The sequence below is a fragment of the Homo sapiens genome, chromosome 7, assembly GCF_000001405.40.
Source record: "Homo sapiens chromosome 7, GRCh38.p14 Primary Assembly".
Taxonomy (NCBI): Eukaryota; Metazoa; Chordata; class Mammalia; order Primates; family Hominidae; genus Homo; species Homo sapiens.
In genome coordinates this window covers 8,117,506-8,138,359 of record NC_000007.14, presented here as the reverse complement: position 1 = coordinate 8,138,359, position 20,854 = coordinate 8,117,506, and the positions used below count along the sequence as shown (strand labels likewise).

Genomic DNA, 20,854 nt, shown 5'->3' with positions numbered 1-20,854 from the left:
CAAATGGTCATGAGTTGAGATAGTAGGACTAGTAATGTTTTGTGGGTGATTTACTGTAGTAAGTCTCTACTGACCCTTAGGTAGATGCAGAGGGAGAGTTTGCTTAGTTAAGTCGCACACCTGAATTTACCAAACCTAAAATCACTTATGAAATAACCTCCCAAAAGAGAATCCAGAACCATGGATTTGAGTGAGAATGTAGAGTGTTAAGTAATCCTAAGACATTGAGAGGGTTCAGCCTAATTATAGCCTTAGCTCTCCATCTGACCAAGGGTTTCCTTTTAATGATGTACCAAGAGTCCAAAATACACCTGAAATTTAGAGCCAAACTCCAGAGCATCCCATGCCCTGGTGGTTGGCATGCAGCCTGCCCTGGCTTTACAGATTTCTCACAGGACTACAGACTGGCCGAAGTTATCCTGCAGGCCCCAGTCAACCAGGGCAGACAACTCAGTTCAGTCTGGGCTTGATGTTGATTTAATTTACAGAGTGTGCAAGGAAGAGAGTCTCTGGAAGACAGAGGACATTGGTTAAAGTTTTGTCAAAAGTAGAAAGGCACCGCACCTCTAGCATTAAGTTTTCAGGGTTTAGGGATATAAACTTGAGGACAGATATCTGCTTTCCCTGTTACTGTCTTACGACAGGTAGCATACTATGCAGTACTGTGTGAATGCCCATGAATATTTTATCAAAATGACTAATCATTTATAAATATTGAAATCATACCAGGTAGTGGAAGTAATAAGCAGTTAATGTAGATTGCCATACATGGTGTCCATTTTTGTAAAACATTTTCCTCTTTGGCTTAAGAACAGATTATTTTGATAGAATAAAGGTGTCTTTCACAAATTATTTTTTGGAGGGGATAAATATTTTATTCTTACCAAAGTCAGGTAAAGACAATAATAGAACAAACCTAGGTACCCACCACCCAGTTTCAACAAGTCTTACCAGTAAACAAATGTATTTATAATCCTTCACGTGCTTTAACTTACTTTGATAGGAAGGCTGTTATTCCTTTCATTCCCAACATCTTGTTTATATAATTTGCTCTTTGCTTTTATTATCACCTTCTTTAATTTTATTATTTTAGTGTTTGAATTTGACTAGGTAGTACATTCACACTGGGACAAAAGCCGACTTATAATAAAAAAATACACAGTAAAAGAATCCTCACTCTCATTCCTCTTCCTTAACCCCCTCCCTATTCTAATACTTCCATCCCCCAGTGTATCTTAGTGTTTGTTTACCCAGACACAGCAAATACGAGTCTGTATTTTGTTTCCCTCTTTCTAAAAAAAAAAAAAAGGTTCTTGGCTTTAGAATTTAATTTTTTTTAACTTGGCGGTAAAGGTACAACCCTAACCCAGTAGTCATGCATTTTTTCACAGAATTAAATCAGAAATGGCACTGCCTGCGATAGATGCTTACTTTTATAAACTTCCTCGAAAGCATGTGCCAAGATATGTTGGAATGAGATTGACACTTGTCTGCTTATTTAAAACAACTTTCATATTTCATTGGTTTATAGTTAGGATCTTTGTTAGTTTTGTAGACTAGCAGTCCATACCCCCTTTTTTGAGCACTCTATGTAATTGTAAAGATAGGGATATTAATGTGCTGGTCCCTTAAAATGTGTAGTTGTTCTCAGGCAGAAGTATTGGTTTGCACATTGTCTCAGTTAAAGTCAATGTCACATAATTTGTCTTTTCTCTTTCTCACTGCCAACCCACACAGCCCTTCTTCAGGCATGAGCAGGGCTGCCCCACTGTCTGCCTCTGCTTCTATGTTGTCAACCCACAGGGTAGCGTCGGCTTAAATATTAACGTGGTCGGTAGAATAAAAATATTCTCTCAGTGCACAGAGAACTTGTGGTGACTGAAGAAAAGAACACTCATTAATTTGTTGACTTCAAAATGTGTGCCCTTTGGAAAACTGCTGGAAGGCCCAAATCCTGAATTAAAATGCTGATTACAATATGCACGACATTAAACAGTCAAGAAATAAAAAGAGCTTAATCCAGGGATGGCTGACTTTATAGGACTTGGGGACGATAAGCTCTAGCACCCTGCTGCTTGGGGGCCGGTTCACTCCCTGTGGTAATTCTGTTAGACAAGTAATGGCTAAGCCGTGGTACAATGTTATCAAAAAGCAGACCGCTCGTGACAACAGCAACGATTCTCAAAGAGCCATTGCCCAGAAAATCACCCCCATTCAGTGTCGTAATGACATTGGCTTTCTCCTACTAAATAGCTAATATAATGGAAAACCAATATTTGACCACAGTTTATAAAACTATTTTAAGTAAAAAAGTTAGTGACATTTTGAGACACGTGAAAGTGGCTCTCAAACTGCCTTATGACCACATGTGGCAATCTGACCTCAATTCGTTAATTATAACATGGAGAAATCTTTGTGTTTCCCAAAATTGGGCCAAGAAAAATGAATAGCAGATACCTGAACAAAAAAGTGGTGTTACAAAGCAGAAGACAGTTCAATGAATTCAACTCACCTAAGTCTCATAAGTTGGCCTTACCCAAAAGATCCCTCTCCAGGACAAGACTAAGCCAATTAAAACAATTTTAATTGTCTATATTCTAAATAAAATGTTTATCTCCTGCTACCTCCTTGGTTACTACTTCTAGACTTGTGATTCTAAATTGTGGTCACATGTCAGAATAATAGCTCATTCAGTAGGTACCATAGGTGTGGGTGAAAACTTTTAGCCCACAGCAGTCATACATGTTTACCTCTGAGTTCCTCCTGAGTCACTCAGAATTGTCTCCTGCAGTTGTCCATATATTACTGACTAGGGATCTGACTGCTTCCTCGCATACGAAGTGGCAAGTTCTAAAAAGCGCCTTCTCTTTTCTCATGAACTTTCCCTCCTCTCTGTCTTCCTCAGCATCCTGGGATGTACTGCTGGCTTTGGTACATTTTTTTTTTTAACCAAATACTGTTCTTAGCTGATCATCCTGTAGCCTGTAGTGCTCTCTATAGATTTACCCTTATAAAGATTTCTATAAAGATTCTGGCCGGGCGCGGTGGCTCACACTTGTAATCCCAGCACTTTGGGAGGACAAGATGGGCGGATCACTTGAGGTCAAGAGTTCGAGACCAGCCTTGCCAACATAATGAAACCCTGTCTCTACTAAAAATCCAAAAATTAGCCAGGCCTGGTGATGGGCATCTGTAATCCCAGCTACTCTGGAGGCTGAGGCAGAAGAATCGCTTGAACCCGGGAGGCGGAGGTTGCAGTGAACCGAGATTGCACCACTGCACTCCAGTCTAGGCAACAGAGTAACACTCTGTCTCAAAAAAAAATAAAAAAAATTCTATAAAGAGTCTATAAATATTTATCCCTGCCCTAGGTTTTATGTTTTTCAGTAAGATTACTTGTCTTCTAACATCTACTGGTGAAATGGAGTAGCAAGCTTAGGGATCATGAACAAGAATTTTTTTTTTTTAGTGCCTACTCAGGGTCCAGTGCTGTTGGTTTGTTGTTTGTTTTTTGTTTTGTTTTGTTTTTCAGGGAGTAGGAGTTGTTTTTCCTCTCTCTGTTCTTATTATAATCTATATCATTTTTCATCAGAGCGAAGTTCTTAGAAGCAGTGTTCTTGAGTTCCAAACAAGTACAGTTTGTTATAATATAGAATATGTTTTTCTTGTTAGCCATTTTCGTAAGGTGTTTTCCTCCCTATCTTCCCCCTACTCTCTTTGGGCGATGTGAGGATAGTGTTGGTGTTTGGGGTTTTTCATCTGTACTGCAAGCGTGTGGCCTTTACGATTAGTCATAATGTCCAGAGTGGGGACGAGGGAGAAAACCAGAGAGATGGAGTCTTCCTGTTTCACACGCAGATGAAGGTAAATTAAGTGACATTTATCTGCCAGCTTTTCTGTGCTCTCGTTTTCGGTCTATGTAGTTATGTTTCCTTCCATCTTCTGTGTTCTAATTTATGCTGAGGTCATGAAACTCAGTATGAGTTCAAAAATACCACCTGAGTGAGCTGTCACCAATTTCCCACACCGTGTCTAAACTTAAAAGAGCTTCCTCTCTATGTGAGTTTTCACACAGATATTGCTCATTGGTTCAGGATCAGTTCTCCTAGGGAATGTTCTCCCAGGGGCATAGGGTTTTTATTTTTGAAAACTTGGGCAGTACAGGGCAAACATGCTGAATGGATCTGTCATCTCAGCCTTTCTGCCACGGTGCCTGCATGGTGCCTGGCTGCCAGTGGAGCCATCTGACCTTAGAAACCCTCAACACTTTACAAAAGCTTAAATATTAATTTATACATGAGATCCTTAATAGGTTCTGAAGTAAAAGCAGAGTGCTACAGTGAGAAAACACCTTGACTGTGAGTTGGGGTCCCTAGCAAGATTGTCTGTAACTAATAAATTTTGTGTCATTGGGTAGGTTATTTAACCTGGGTCTTTTTCCTTATCTGTAAAGTGAGTTAGAGGAGATGATCTCTAAGATTCCTATTGGTTGCAAAAAAAAAAAAAAAAAAAAGTATGATTTTTCTCACTGGGACAAATCATCAGGTTCCCAGAATATGTTTGAGCAATGGCAAGTAGAGAAGTTTTGCCAAATTGAATGAAGGCTTTCCAGATGGCTATATTGATGGGTAGCTGAAAGGGCTGCATTCGTGCTTGACTGCAGACATCCTGAATACCACTAGACAGAGTGTTACTTTAGCCAGTAGTCAGGGAGCCACTGAAGGCCTTTGAGTAAATGAGTAATCTCACAGCCAGCCTGTCTAACTTTGCTTTCTGTTGCTTATAAAACAGAATACTGGCACCTGGATAATTTATAAGGAAAAGGGCTCATGCCTGTAATCCTAGCACTTTGGGAGATCAAGGCAGGAGGATCACTTGAGACCAAGAGGGCAACAAAGTAAAACCCTATCTCTACAAAAGTTTTAAAAGTTAGCCAGGCATGGTGGCATGTGCCTGTAGTCCCAGCTACTCAGAAGGCATTCAAGCCTGGAGTGCTATGGTTGCACCACTGCACTCCAGCCTGGATGACAGAGTGAGACTCTATAAAGAAAAAACAAGAAAAGAAAAGAAAGAAATGGAATTTATTTCTTAGAGTTATAGGGGCTAAAATGTCCAATTCTGAGGGGACACATCTGGTGAGGGCCTTTTTTGCTGAGTCCTAAGGCGGCTTAGGGCATCACATAGTGAGGGGGCCGAATGTGCTCCCTCAGGTCTCTGTTCCTCTTCTTATAGAAGCTACCAATCCCACTCCCATGATAATCCATTAATTCATTAATCCATGAATGGGTTAACCCATTTGTGAGGGCAGAGCCCTCATGACCCAATCACCTCTTAAAGGCCGCACCTCTCAAGCTGCCGCACTAGGGTTTAAATATCAGCATGAGTTTTGGAAGGGACAGATATGCAAACCATAACACAGACTAAGCAAAGATACACAGTAAGAGGGTTCCTCTATGGAGCACCAGCAGCTTCACCAATGGGCAAACCCAGAAGGGCTCCCAGACAGGAATTTGCAAATGGAGTTCCAGAAAGAACTTGGAATTGGAGGTAGAGATTGGAGAACCTTCTGAGGTGACATTGGAACCCTAAGAATAGAAAAGATCTTCTATAGAGAATGTAGGGAAGGTATGATGGTTTGGGATGAAACCTTAAGGGCAGCCAGAATAGGAGGAGGCAGTGGAGAAGGTACTGTCAGGGAGATGGGAGGTCATCCGAGAGAGCCGCCTCATGGGGACTCCCAGGAGATAGCAGCATTTCCAGGCTGGGCAGTGGTACAAATGATGCTGTACAGGTAAAGGCCTGGGAAAAGAGCCTCAGAACTGGCAATGAGGATCTCACTGCTGACCTTCAAGAGAGCTATTTCAGTATAGGGTGGGGGCAGGAACTTAATTACAGGCAGCTGAGAAAAGAGTAGAGCCAAAGTAGAGTATGTGGTTGTGGAAGGAAGAAGAAACCAGAACAGTAACTTGAAAGTGTGAGGGGAGGGTGGAGAGCAACATCAAGTGAAGGCTGATTATTGTTGAGATAGGCACACATCTCCTGCGGCTAGGGGAAGGAAGCATTGGAAAATGAAAGACTAAAGGTGCTGGATCTGAATAATGGTGGGAACAGAGCAGGCTTCAGGAAGGAGGGGAGGGCATAGAGAGGGCTTATCTTAGAAAGGAGAGGCAATGCCTGCAAGGTCACGGAGTTGGAGACAGGTGAGGATGTGAGTACGTCATGTCTGTTGGCTCTTATTTTTGCAGCAGTGTCTGTAGTTAGGTTATCTGGTAAGCAAGTAAACACAGAGACTTGGGAGCCTGCAAGAGAGTGAAGGGAACTTGGTGTAGCATCTGTGGGTTTGGCACCTGAGAGATCCTCAACCCTTGTTCATCCTTTAACACAAAAGCAGGATTGGGGCACCATAACCCAGAAGCAGTCCACATCTGCATGGGTGGAAGCCCTGACTCCAGTTGGGAGTTTCTTACTAGAGTTTCTCCCAAAGAGCTTATCACATCTCTGCATGTGTCTCCATTATCTCTCAGTTGAGTTGAATTTTTTTCAAAGAAAATGATAGCATGATTCTCAAGAGCCAACTGACTATAGAGCTATTTCTCAAGTCTCAACTTGTCTGGTTACAGACCTGAACCCGTCCTTTTCTACTTGTAGTTAGATTTTTCTTACGTGTTATGTGTAATAATTTTAAGCATCTTAATTATCAGTGCAATAATTGGGAGGTTTTTGTGTTTTATGGTTCAAGTCAGTGCCAGTTTCATTGCTTTTAGCTAAGTAGTAAGTTCTCTTAAAAGAGAAAATGTGCACTGTGTGGCCTGTTAGCTGTTGAATAATCAAGAAGCCAAATAAAAGGCTAAATTCATTGGTAGACCTCAGTGTAGGCAAAATCTGTATTTAGAACTGGCTGTAGGCAATATCCTCACCAAGGGTCCTTTTCTCTTTTCTGTCACTAAAAAGTTTGAGTTGAATAGGATATGTATTAGTAAAAAGTTTTCTGATTGCAAGTGATAGAAAAACCCTATTTGAAATAGTTTAGGTTTAAATTTTTAAAAGCAAAAAAGAATGTATTGATCCATGTAATGGGGACACTCAGTTGTGGATTGGCTTCAAGCAAGGCTGGATCCAGGCGCTTAGACAATGTTGTCAGGATTCTCTCTCCACTTCTTGAGGCTGTTTCCCTCTATGTGTTGACTTCATTATCACTGGGAGCCTGAAATTTGCATCTTTAGAGCTTGGAATCCCAAAGAAAGAGAGGCCCTCTTCCATTAAGTTTCTATATACCAAATTCCGGGAGGTGTCCGGCATGTGTCCACCCCTGAGCCAATCACCATGCCTGGGGGATGGAGGACTCTGGCCAGCCTCATCAGTCATTCACTGGGGTGGAGGGTAAGGAGTCATTTCCAGAGGCATCTCACCAGGATCACATGGAGAAGGCATTTTCCCAAAGGGAAAACTGAAGAAGCAGAGGGAAGGGATGCTGAGTTAGCAAAAACCACCAAAGTCCATTATAAACACCATAGCACAAAACCTAAACAATAAAAACAAAGATGGAGCTATTACAGTCTGTGGTTATTTTTAGAAGGCTTACAGTTTATTATTTGTTCTTGCTAATGTTAATGATGATCTTCCCTGGACAGACATCTGTACTAAAGTAGTGAAGCCTCCCTGAGGGTTTGACTTAGTGGAGGGCTGTATAAAGCGACTGTAGAAGGAACATACGTCATTTCCAAGGTGCATTTGAAATTATCTGCTCCTCCAGGGTCTACACATTGACTTGACTTGGTTTCAATAGAATAGGTTTGGTTCAGTAATTATCTGGTTTCAGTCAGGGCAAAAAGTAAACTATAAGAAAGGGTTTGGGCATTCCAGTCCTACCTGAAAGTAGGAAGTATAGAGTTCTGTAATGTTAATAATCCTTAAAAAGGTGATGCTGGAGAGGGGAGCATGCGTAGATACAGGTGTTGATGGACACATCCTGAGCTGCGAAGGTTGCTTTCCTTTCCTTCAGCTCCTGCCTTCATCCACAGAGGTGGGCCACCTGCCTGACCTTACAGTCCTGCCTCGCCCACCATGTGCAGGCTCAAGTGGTTCCTGAACTACCCTGTTAATATCACACTGTCGAAATACCATTCGACCCAGCCATCCCATTACTGGGTATAGACCCAAAGGATTATAAATCATGCTGCTATAAAGACACATGCCCACGTATGTTTATTGCGGCACTAGCAGCAAAGACTTGGAACCAACCCAAATGTCCAACAATGATAGACTGGATTAAGAAAATGTGGCACATATACACCATGGAATACTATGCAGCCATAAAAAAGGATGAGTTCATGTCCTTTGTAGGGACATGGATGAAGCTGGAAACCATCATTCTCAGCAAACTATCGCCAAGGACAAAAAACCAAATACCGCATATTCTATCTCGTAGGTGGGAATTGAACAATGAGAACACATGGACACAGGAAGGGGAACATCACACACCGGGGACTGTTGTGGGGTGGGGGGAGGGGGGAGGGATACCATTAGGAGATATACCTAATGTTAAATGACGAGTTAATGGGTGCAACACACCAGCATGGCACATGTATACATATGTAACAAACCTGCACGTTGTGCACATTTACCCTAAAACTTAAAGTATAATAATAATAATTTTAAAAAAAATCACACTGTCTCAGAAGCCTGTTTAAAATGCCATTTGCCCCATCTTCTCACCCACAACACCTACAGGCTAGCTCTTAGTGAGAATTTCTGTGATAACACAAACAATAAGAATGCTTACATTAGACAGTTGTCCGACTAAAGTGATGTTTTGCCACTATTTTTAAACCACAGGGACATGAGAGTGACTAGATTCTTCCCCTCCCTGATTTATAGCCTGTCTGCTCAGCACATCAGAAATCCCCTTCATCTTTAGATCTTTATGTAAAGTGTGATTGAAAATAGATCCAGTAAAGCCAACACAGAGAACTTTTTTTTTTTTAAAAAAAAAGCCTTTACTTACTAATTATCTTATACATTTGAAGAAAACCTGGTCATCTCATTTAATATGACCATATCAGAATTGCAGCATGTCTCAGAAAAAAAACATAAATCATGATTTTTTTCTTCTCTTTGTGAATTAACAACAAAAATGTTTATAGTTTCCAAGTGGCAGTTAGATACCACCACAAAGCCACAGTTGATAACACCATCAGTCTTTGGTTCTCAAAATAAGTAATAAACCCAGTGAAAGGACTTGGTGTAAGATTTCTGATAGTAATGCTACTTGTATTCAATATTCAGTATTCTGCCAATGTTCGTAATGTAAGGATGGCTGCCTTCTTTAAAGCCTTCCTTCTGGAAAGGCAATTAGGTTTAAAGTGTATTTCTTTTGGTCTTCCTGACAACACCGAGGTGGCCGTTATTAACATGATAACCTTGTGGATGAGCAAACAGAGGCTCAAGGGGGTCTAAGGGTTTTTACCGAAGTCACATAGCAGCGAAGGGGTGGACCTGAGGCTTCCCCTCTGATCCGGTGCTCACTTCAACGCCCCTCGAACTGTGTCTCTAGCCTGTGAAGCTCCCTGACTCGCAGCCTCTTTCCCTTTTATTTTATTGCTGCAAAAGGCACTTAGGCAAACCAGACCCACTTTTCCTTTGCTTCATGCAATGGAGTTTCAGCAAAGTGGGAAGGAAGTAAGGATGCCTCTCTTGGGCATTGTTGAGCTCTGGACATCCTCCCCTTCACTGTCGTGCCCTGGGCCAGGGCATGGTGAAAGTTCTCTCCCCATCCTGGGTGGCAGGACAGGCTGCCACATGGCGTGTTGCTGTTCCAGCCCAGGCAATGTGTATTGAGGGCTTGCGTGGGAAGATTTGGGAAGCTATGCAAACAAGGAACTAAGATCTCCAACATGTTTTCAATCTTGGCCTTGTTTCATATCTGAGAAATGTTTTGGTAAATTTGTTTTTATATTAAAGAAAAACCAAAATCCTAGAGTCTGATGCCCAGAAACTGAACTTGCTTTGGAGGACAGGGGACAAGGGAACATGGGATTCGAAATTTAATTCTATAAACTCTTAAGAGAGGCTATAATAATAGGATGAACTTATATTTTGATGACATTTTTCTTAAATCTAGCCATCAACCAGTCTCCCCCTTCGCAGCCCCCACAGCATTGATTCCTGAGGGCTTGAGCCCTCCGTGGTGACGTTTTGTTCTCTGTTACTTCAATCAGCTTGCCTGGGACCAGTGGCAGGGACCCCGGAACCTGAAGGTGCTGACAAAGATGACCTGCTGCTGTTGAGTGAGATCTTCAATGCTTCCTCCTTGGAAGAGGGCGAGTTCAGCAAAGAGTGGGCCGCTGTGTTTGGAGACGGCCAAGTGAAGGAGCCAGTGCCCACTATGGCCCTGGGAGAGCCAGACCCCAAGGCCCAGACAGGCTCAGGTTTCCTTCCTTCGCAGCTTTTAGACCAAAATATGAAAGACTTACAGGCCTCGCTACAAGGTAGGTAAGGTGGGGATTGAAATGGGGTTTTTTGTTTGTTCATTCTTTTTGTTTTCAATCCAAAAGCATATTTCTTCCTTCTTTGTCTTTTTTAATGTTTTCTCTATTTTTATTGACTTTTTAACTGGAGACTCAGAATCACATTCCAACTTTATGTTTCAGGGTTTAAAATACATTCCTTTTCATAATTCTCCCCTGTGTTAGCATCAAAGGTTAGATGAGTGGTTCTAAATCATATTGTCATCCTTTGATTTTAGACTTCTTGTGGCATACTTGAGAGGATCAAACTGCTTTCATGGTCAAGGCCCCGTTGACTTGGCCACTCCGCCCTGAGTTCACCACGTTCCCATAAGCATGCCCTCTTCCTGGGTGCTGACTGACATTGCACGGGGCTTCTTCACTCTTTTTGCACACTAAGTTTTATCTTGCATTTCTGCTCCCTTTCTATCCTGATCCACCTCTCCCCTGAGGACCCCCCACTAGATCCACTCTTCTGGTTCTGCCCGAAACACAGGGCCAAACATTACCTCCTCAGCCACAGAAAAAATAGAGTTTCCACACTGATCAGAAGAAATTTCTCAGGCCAGGCATGGTGGCTCATGCCTGTAATCCCAGCACTTTGGGAGGCCGAGGTGAGAGGATCACTTGAGGTCAGGAGTTTGAGACCAGCCTGGCCAACAATGGTGGAAGCCTGTCTCTACTAAAAATACAAAAAAAAAAAAAACTTAGGTAGGCATGATGGCACATGCCTGTAATCCCAAATCCTAGTTACTCAGGAGGCTGAGGCAGGAGAATCGCTTGAACCCAGGAGGCAAAGTTACAGTGAGCCAAGATTGTGCCACTGCACTCTAGCCTGGGCAACAGAGTGAGACTCTGTCTGAAAAAAAAAAAAAAATGCTGGAGGGGTTGTCAACATCAGTAAGGGTTCAAGGTACACCAACCAAGTGCTGGCTGAGAATTGCTAGCATTGGAACACATTGGTTGACAGTGCAAAGCCTGAAACTCATGTTGAAATTTAAATTTTTGAGTTTCTAAACACACAGGCTTCTGAAAGGAAACCATTTTTTAGTATTTCAACACTTTTTCCTTCTTTCATGTGACTTTAATTGTAAAACAGGAATCACTTAAGAAATTATCAAACTGTTTTGGTTTTTCTATGAATTTAGGCTGTCTCCCTAATAAACAGCATGTTTATCTGGCACTTAAAGCTGAGAACAAAACGGTAAAGCTGGAACAATTAAGTAATTATGGGCTATTAAAACCTCAGGTCTTTGGAGATGAGATCATGGACACAAGAGTTGGTGGGCAAGACAAAAAAAAAAGTCTTTTTTTTTAAATGAAATACATGACTCCTTTTATCTTCCTTTGGGAGTCTTATTTCATAGCCATTTCATTTATTTGCAGTAATGGAGGTAGAGATAGCAGGGATAAATGAAATCCAAAAATGTTTCTCCACCCTGAGTTTCACCCCAGGTTTCACCACCTCATTCACGGGAGCTGCAAATGAGTAAGGCTGCCAACTGACTAGAGTTTCATCCCCACCCACCTGTGGTGGAGGTGCTAAGAAGCCCTGAGAGAGTCGAGGCAGAGCCCAGATCCTCAAGTGATATCTTAGGGCTGCTGAGGACTCCCCAGCAGTGTTGCAGAACGAACCCCACTCAGATCCTCAGCTTTGGAAACAAGAGCCCCTACTAACCACAGGGAATGGTTGCAACTGTGTTGCTGCTTAGCCAGGGTGGCTGAGTGTCAGTCATTGTAAGAGCCCATGCACACACATCAGCAGACAGCCAAGAAGTCAGAGCTCCTCGCCCACTTCCTGAGCAGGCAAAGTGAGAGAAGTTCATCTCAGTGCCCACAGTGGGGCTGCCAGACTATGCCTGAGAGCTGTGACAAGGGCAGCGGCCATGGGGAATTGCACTTCAGCCTTGCCCCATATACACGGGAAAGGCACCAAACCACACTGAGGTCTAAGGAGGGAGGTGTTCTGGGAGGGAGAGAGAAACACAAGCTCATGCTACGGAAAGAGAAACAGGAACTGCAAAGGGAGGCCATTTGTTACTCAGGCCAACAACATCTCATTTGAGGTTGCCATCCTACTAGCACTTTAGCAAGTCTCTCATTCAGTCAACAAATATTTACCGGGTCCCACTGTGTGCCAGGCACTGGGAATTCAGCTGAGGACAAAACAGACAAGGCTGTCTGCTGTCCTGGAGCCCACATTGTAACAGGATGCAGACAGGCAGTGAATAATAAGCATAATAATAAGCAAATCGCATAGTAGGCTAGAAAGTGATCGATGTTAGGGAGAAAAGGAAAAAGTAGAGCCTGGGGATAATGGAGTGTTGGGGCTCTCAGGGTAGTAGGTCAGGCTGCAGAGCTGAGTAGGTTCTTACTGGGAAGATGAGATCTGAGCAGAGACTTGCAGGAGGTGAGAATGAACCATGTGGAGCTCTGGGCAGAGGGAACAACCTGTGCCAATGCCCTAAGGTGAGGATATGCCTGGCACAGTGAAGGGTCTTCAGGAAGGACACTTGGCTGGAGCTGACTAAGCAAGGGGGAGGGATGCTCAGAGGATGCAGAGGCGGAGGCCAGGCCACACAGGGACTCATAGCTGTTGGAAGAACTTAGACCTTTTTTCAGCCCAAGTAAAATTGGGAGCCATCACAGGATCTTGAGCCAAAGAGAAACATGATCTGATTTCCTATTTAAAAGGGTCATTCTGTCTGCTAGAAGTTTTATTTCCTCTGCTGGGATTCTATCAAGGTCAGTGTTAAAGGAGTTACCACCCGGGCAAGGTGGCTCATACCTGTAATCCCAGCACTTTAGGAGGCGGAGGTGGGCAGATGGCTTGAGGTCAGGAGTTTGAGACCAGCCTGGCCAACATGGTGAAACTCTGTCTCTACTAAAAATACAAAAATTAGCTGGGTGTGGTGGTGTGCACCTGTAGGTCCAGCTACTCGGGAGGCTGAGGCAGGAGAATCATTTGAATCCAGGAGGTAGAGGTTGCAGTGAGCTGAGATCACGCCACTACACTCCAGTCTGGGTGACAGAGTGAGGGAGACTCTGTCTCTGAAAAAAAAAAAAATGTTGAGTTAACTTGTAACTACTGTACTATTTCCTTTGCATGCAAACAGCTGCCAATGGAATACCTACAGAACTGAAATGATAGGAGGAAAAAAAGCCAAACCTAAGTGGTTGAAACAAGCAGACCATTCAGCTTCTGCCACACTTACAGATTCCCAGCAGGTGCTCCCAGTTCAGGGATCCTTCAACACGTGTTTGTTACAAATGAAGGATGGACATTATGCTTCCATGACTGATCATGTCAAATTCTGCCTTCTATTCTTCTATTAGGACCCTCAATCCCCTCAAAAAAGAGGAAAGGATGAATGTTAGCTTGAGTTTTTTTTTTTTTTTTCACTGCATTCATGGCCTAGAAAATCTACCTATACACGGCTGGGCGCGGTGGCTCATGCCTGTAATCCCAGCACTTTGGGAGGCCGAGGTGGGCGGATCATGAGGTCAAGAGGTCGAGACCATCATGGCCAAAATGGTGAAACCCCGGCTCTACTAAAAATACAAAAATTAGCTGGGCATGCTGGTGCGTGCCTGTAGTCCCAGCTACTTGGGAGGCTGAGGCAGGAGAATGGCGTGAACCCGGGAGGCGGAGCTTGCAGTGAGCCGAGATCCCGCCACTGCACTCCAGCCTGGGCGACAGAGCGAGACTCCGTCTCAAAAAAAAAAAAAAAAAAAAAAAAAAATTGTATGATTCAGTGAATCTATGATTTGTAGATGGTAAAATAACAGCCAGCACTCAGTGTGGCACGTGCTACGTGCCAGGAACTGTCCTGTGTGCTTTTCACATGGATGAATTTTAATCCTCACCGTACCCTTCCCAGCCAGCTACTATTATCCGTTTTATTGCCTGGGAAACTGAGGAACAGTGGTTAAGTGATGTGCCCAAGATCACACTCCTGTTAACGGGCAGGCCGGATTTTGAGCCCAGGCAGCCGGACTCCAGAATCCATGCCTTTCACCATTCCCTTCTCTGGCCTCTCAGTACAGTCTCTGAGAGCAAAAGGGATTTCCCAGTGGGGCTCTTCAGACCTCTCTTAGGAAGCCGTCAGAGGGGCAGGACTTGTAATGACACCCTGGCCTGGGCATCCTGGTCGCACACAGGGATAGAGATATTTAGGGAGCCATAAAGGAGGAATGGGTGTGGGAGACAGAGGCTAAGTCCACACACAATTGAATGATGTTCCAGAATAGAATATTTGAAATTGAGATTGTCCTAGGAAATCTTGTTCCTGTGTGCCAGCAGCTACATTCGCTCTGGCACACTCCTGCTGCATCTCAGGTTTTCCTGGCTCTCCGTGAGAGACTGGGGCACCGAGTCCTCGGGGACAGGCACCAGGACTGAAGTGCAAGCTCTGGGCCGCGTCCCCAGCTCCCTCACCCCCTCTCACAATCCACATTTCCCCCTCCTCTTCCGCCTTCATCTCTTCAGTTTCCTCCTCTGTCGTCTCCCTGGATTCTCCCCTGCTTTTGTACCTCTCTTCTTCCACCTCTCTCCTCGTTCTGTCCCCAGTCCCCTGGGGAAATGGAGAGGAAGGGGGATTTGGAGAACAATGATATCCTCTTTTCCCCCTACTTTAAGCTCTAAGAGTCCAAAACAAAGGAATGCATGTAGAATCAAGTTGTGCTGAAAATGAGAAGATGAAGTTAATTTTAGCTGGGATTTCTAAGAGTGTCTGAAGTTATCAGCATGGTAAGGTGTGGGGGTTCCTCTGTCATGCAGTGATGAGAAAATTGTGCCTTCCCAAGGCCACTTTGTGTGAGTAGGAGGAGAGCCAGCCAGAGAGGCCACCTGAGCTGGAGACAGGCAATGCTGAGAGGCCTCAGAGTCGATGTTCTCAATTCTGTACCCATTTCCAAAATTTAGAAGTAGACACTGATACTAGAAAGATTACCAGCTGCTCAAATAAATGCATCAGGACATCTTTTAATTTAGGACTCTGCAAACCGAAGTTAGGAATCTTGTTCCAAATTCCCAAAAACATACAGCCTTGTGTTCCTTCACGGTATTCTTTTGTTTTACCGAATTCTGAGATGCCGTTGCCATTTAGATGGATTTCCACTTAAGGCTAATATAATGTCAGGCTTCGGGTTATCTCCGTTTCACCTTTCCTCAAGCAGTGCTCACCTCCTGCCATTCCTGGCTTAGCCTGGCTCCAGGTAATGGACATTCCCAGTCCTCAGAATCGTGTGAGGGAAAAGACCACGGGGTGTATTTATAGTTTGAATGCAGAGCAGGCACTCTCAGCACAAGGCAATGGAACGGAGTTCCGCCAAAGTGCAGCACTTCCTATGCCTGCTGAGGAGCATTTGCAGGTCTTGGAGCTCTGCAGAATTTAGTCCCCAGAAGGAACTTTGATCTACTCTACACCTGTTTTATAGAACAGGGAATCAAGGAGCCCCAGAAAGGCCTTGTGACCTGCTTAGTTGTTGCAGTTGTTCCACCATTTGAATAAGGTCTAAACTCCTCAGCATGGCTTCCAAGGTCCTTTAGGACACGACTGTCTCCTCACTGTCCACACCTCCCACATCTTAGCTTAGCTGTCTTCGTGGCATTGTTTCCCTGGAGAACCACGTGTGCTATCAGTACACCCGACTCCAGCCATATGAAGCTTCAGTGCACCCGTCTGTCCCCACCATGGGGTCTTGGCACATGCTCTCCCTTCTCCTTAGAGCATGCCACTCACCTGTGCAGCATGCTGCTTGTCTGACCTGGCTAACTTCTCATCCTTCAGTATCTCAGCTCCACTGTCATCTCACTGAGGAGCCTTCCTTGAGTCCCCCCTCCCCAGCAGTCAGGGTGTTTCTGCTCCCCAAGTCCATGACAACCTGTACTTAATCACTCCTCTCCCCTTAACTTATTGTAAAATGGATTCACTTTATTTTAACTTTTAATTTCTGTGGGACTAGTAGACGTATGTATTTATGGGGTATGTGAGATATTTTGATACAGGCGTGCAATGTGTAATAATCACATCAGGGTAAATGGGGTGTTCATCACCTCAAGCATTTCTCATTTCTTGGTGTTACACACATTCCAATTATACTCTTTGGGTTATTTTTAAATGTACTGTAAATTATTGTTGACTGCAGTCACCCTGTCGTGCTATCGAATGCTAGATCATACTTATTCTATCTAACTATATTTTTGTACCCACTAACCATCCCTTCTACCCCCATCCCCTACCACCCTTTCCAGCCTCTGGTAACCATCATTCTACTTTCTATTTCCATGAACTGAATTGTTTTCATTTTTAGCTCCCGCAAATGAGTAAGAACATGCAAAGTTTGTCTTTCTGCGCCTGGCTTAGTTCACTTAACATAATGTCTTCCAGTTCCATCCAGGTTGTTGCAAATGACAGGATCTCATTCTGATTCCATTTTCTGTCTCTTGCTCTAGGTTGTCATGGGAACAGGTCCCATATTTATGTTGCTCACCATCGTATTTCCAGAACACAGCTCAGTGCCTGGAATACAGTAAATGTTCAAAAGTACTTGCTGGCTGGCTGGCTGGCTGGATGGCAGGCAAGAAGTGGGGGAGAGGACAACTGACAAATGACACTAGATGAAACCAGTCCTAAAATGAGAACCCTTGAAGATGATGTCCTCAGGGGTTAGTCCTGCCATCTGCTTAGCTTACAAACTCCCAGATTCAGCTTAGGTTTACTGAGGGCCTGCTCTCTAGTCTGTCTCCTACCTGGTTTCATCTACAAGATCCCATTTTATCCAGACAACCCCCAAATGAAGCAGGACATTTTATCTACCCCTTGCAGGCATGGAAACTAGGCCTGAGGGGGAACTGTGGGTGTCAGGATGGTGCTTGGCCACGTGGTTGTGGTGTTCCCACTCTCCCCTTCACGGGCAGCCCCACCGCAGAGCTCTCCAGGCTGTGATCCCCTCCCAGCCCCGGGCTTCGGCTCTCCCCGCTGGTAAATGACACCCATGGCAAAGCGCAGCTCTGGGCGGTGTCCTTTGGCTTCACTTGCTGCTGTAGCTGGCCGGCCTTATGCCTGGCTGATTTAGACTTTCCTTTATGTAAGTAACGGGGGGCAGTTTGCTCTAATAAAATTTTATTTGTTTCCTGCAAATGGGTAGCACATCTGATATATCAAAGGATCCTGAAAGCTAGGGTAGTCATTTTGTTCTCACAACTCAGTGCCCTGGTTGCTCACTCGTCACCACCCCTCTCCTGACAGAACTACTCTGAGATGGGCCGACATCTTTCTAGCCACACCTTCATGTTAAAAATGCCTCAGCCAACTCACACCAGCTAGAGAACAGTTGATGGCAATTATGGGAATATTAGCAACACTAAGTTCTCTTTACATAGCATTTTTTCCTGACAGAAGCCAAGACAGTTGAAATCTGGCTTGGCATTCAATCCATAATTACCCTCATTGCACCCTTCCCCTAAATAATTTCCAAAGTGATATGAATGAGGTTGGAACTGTAGCTGAGCTTAGTATTTGCTTTTTTTCCCATAAATAGTCGGTGTCATAGACATACTATTTTATCTCTTCATGCGCATGTAGTCAAATTGTTAGACTGATGCTTAATAATTGTTCGGAGAAAAGAATGTGACTTGGCAAACTGGCTGTTGTTTCTGCCTCACACTACGGGGAAAGGGAATAATGATACCCTGTGTGTGTTTGTGAACATTCTGAGGTGTACTGTTCCCGTCATCTTAGCTCCCAAAGAGGGGATATCTTCAGGCTTTATCATCTTCATGTCTTCTGCTGCAGAGAAGCCTCCAAATCCATGGGTTCTAGGTGTTCATTGTATGGTTCATGAGTGTTTTAGGTGAACAATATTTAAAAATCCATACTTACAAAGGAATTCAAGTAGAAGATATCTGTTTTGTCTATAAAGGAATCTGCCATTATCATCTTTTAAATCACATGTTTGAAAATATAATTTGTATTCCTGGGTCCTCTTATTTATCTTTTATCTTTGAGATGCATTCTTACTCTGTCACTCAGGCTGGAGTACAGTGGCACGATCTCGGCTCACTGCAACCTCCGCCTCCCGGGTTCAAGCGAATCTCCTGCCTCAACCTCCTGAGTAGCTAGGATTACAGGTGCCCGCCACCACACCCGGCTAATTTTTGTCTTTTTAGTAGAGACAGGGTTTCACCATGTTGGCCGGGCTGGTCTTGAACTCCTGACCTCAAGTGATCCGCCTGCTTTGGCTTCCCAAAGTGCTGGGATTACAGACGTGAGCCACCACACCCGGCCTCTGGCTTCTTTTAAAGTATGACTTGATACACAGATGTTTCACTTATTTATAGCTTTCCAAGAACACGCACATTACATGATGGGAAGTGAGTTCCATTTTGACATATAAATTGATTTCTGCCTCCTCTTAGGAATGCGTTCATGTCATACTTTGAAAAATATAATGCTTCGAGTCTGCCTCTTTTTTCCAGTGTTCTCTGCAGCTGAGTGTCGTGCATGTTTTTGAAATGGGAAGAATGATCTTGTTTGAGTTCCCATTGTGTCACATAGCATACAGAGATCAGGGAGGGGTTTCTACTCCTCACCTGGCTTTACTGAGTCAGTTCAAGTTCTCTCTGGAAGCTCCTGGCCCTCCAGGAACTCTGTCAGAGGACCATAGGATCGAAGAGCATAAAGCTGCAAGATTTGGAGTCAGCTGCCTGGGAGTGTGGGGTCCTGAAGTGGGCCCCTCTGATTCTTAGGAGAACCTCTCTCGTCCTCACACTGGCCCAAAAGGCATCCTGTGATTCTAATAGAAATGGTGACCTAGGCAGCCTCAGAGACCAACTGAGGAAGTGCTTCCCAAACTTTTACTTACATAACAATCACTCAGAGTTTGCTAAAATCTTCCCGGGCTCTACCTGCAGGGATTCTGATTCAGTAGGTCAGCATTGGCTCGTGAGCTTGAATTTCTAACCAGCACATAGGTGATGCCCATGCCTCTGTTGAGGGCCCACATTGTGAGAACCATGGTTCTGAGAGACTGAGGGCAAGCTGCAGGGGTTAGGGGAAAGGTGGCATGGGCTCTGGGGACAGGTGGGTCTTGGGTACACTTAGTGTTGGAGAAGGATTGAAGGAAAGGGTGACAGTTACCAGTTAGATTCAATACTTCTCAGCTTTTCTATGATCAGCATTATTTGGCACACACAGAAACCACAACTTTAACTTTCCACATTTACCACTGTTTTATGTGATTTGGGTCTAGAAGGAAAATGGTCAGGGGCCAATTTTCTAGGAACCAGGGAGGTTATGTTATTCCTGGATTACACCAAATACTGGTCATTAAAAAAAATCGTTTTATTGCAGTATAATTTATATGCCAAAACTTCACCCACTGTAAGAGAACAGCTCAAGGATTTCGGGTAACTTTATATTGTGCAGCCTTCACCACAGTCCAGTGTTAGAACATTTCCACGGTCCCAGATAGCTCCCTCCAAGCCTAGTACTTTTGATTGTTTGTGAATTCTGTTATGTATATGTTCAAACACCTTTCCAATGAATAACAATGCCTTTTAGAACTCTTCGTATTTTTTCATTGTTCTAGATTGAGTAAATAGGTCGCAGGCCACCTGTTTCATTAAGTTAGTCTTGATAAATAAGTTCGTGAGGTTTGTGCCATTTGCCTAAAATGAAATACTTCAACCAGTGAGTATTATTGTAATAATGAATATGTGCCAGGTACTGCTTTGCCATCTCTTAAAATAATGCTTTAGAAGTATACTCACGGTTTAAAAGAGTACTCTGTTTATGTTAATGCAATAGTCATATATTTGAACACCCATTGTGTAGCATTCAGTGCACTAAAGGATATAAAGATGAATAATACATTGTCCCTGGCTTCCAGGGGCTCAGGACTCTAGGAAATGAGATGAAAGTGTAAACTAAGAAATAGAGTGTAATTCTGTAATGAAGTCCACTGGAAAGTGTAAAGCTTAGAATGGCAGAGTGAACAAGTGGCATTAAATCCTATACTTTTTGTGCCATATACTGAGTGGCATTCTTGCTCTGGACATTGGTTTCACTGCCCCATCTGAACTCGCCTTCCAAACATGATCTCTCTTGAGGGCCTTATCAGATACAAATCTTTTCCTTAAAAAACACTGTGACGAGAGTATGCCAATAAAAGGATACAGTTTTAAGCACAATGATCCCAACAGTGATGCATCCTCTGATGGTCTACATTTTATAGTGAGAATCAACAATCCATTTAATCAGCAAACATCTACCTGTGCTGTGTTAAGTATTTTGGAGCAAATTGAAAAACAAAAAATTCCTTGTCTCATTGAGAAGGTAAGACTT

At 43.6% G+C, this 20,854-nt stretch overlaps 1 protein-coding gene across 39 annotated transcripts in view, besides 4 other annotated features; it reads left to right on the top strand.

Moving 5' to 3' along the window:
• ICA1 (islet cell autoantigen 1) overlaps positions 1 to 20,854 on the top strand; it is a 149,372-nt gene that overhangs the window by 124,196 nt on the left and 4,322 nt on the right. For all 39 annotated transcript variants that reach the window (NR_146928.2, NR_146926.2, NR_146927.2 and 36 more), the window contains one exon: positions 10,218 to 10,487. Coding sequence is in view for 34 of the 39 variants with exons in the window: in XM_024446741.2 (XP_024302509.1) it covers positions 10,218 to 10,487 (270 nt within the window). In the remaining 5 variants the exon portion in view is untranslated. The remainder of the gene's footprint in view (positions 1 to 10,217; positions 10,488 to 20,854) is intronic.
• Positions 3,807 to 3,936: an enhancer, noted in NCBI's record as "active region_25656". NCBI's record gives its function as "activates an Ori minimal core promoter by ATAC-STARR-seq in GM12878 lymphoblastoid cells {active_cell/tissue: GM12878}" and the evidence as "EXISTENCE:reporter gene assay evidence [ECO:0000049][PMID:35858748]".
• Positions 4,647 to 4,696: a silencer, noted in NCBI's record as "silent region_17971". NCBI's record gives its function as "represses an Ori minimal core promoter by ATAC-STARR-seq in GM12878 lymphoblastoid cells {active_cell/tissue: GM12878}" and the evidence as "EXISTENCE:reporter gene assay evidence [ECO:0000049][PMID:35858748]".
• Positions 12,080 to 12,139: a silencer, noted in NCBI's record as "silent region_17970". NCBI's record gives its function as "represses an Ori minimal core promoter by ATAC-STARR-seq in GM12878 lymphoblastoid cells {active_cell/tissue: GM12878}" and the evidence as "EXISTENCE:reporter gene assay evidence [ECO:0000049][PMID:35858748]".
• Positions 12,736 to 13,528: an enhancer, noted in NCBI's record as "H3K27ac hESC enhancer chr7:8164462-8165254 (GRCh37/hg19 assembly coordinates)". NCBI's record gives its function as "activates a minimal SCP1, AML or CMV promoter by ChIP-STARR-seq in naive H9 embryonic stem cells {active_cell/tissue: H9 hESC(naive)}" and the evidence as "EXISTENCE:reporter gene assay evidence [ECO:0000049][PMID:30033119]".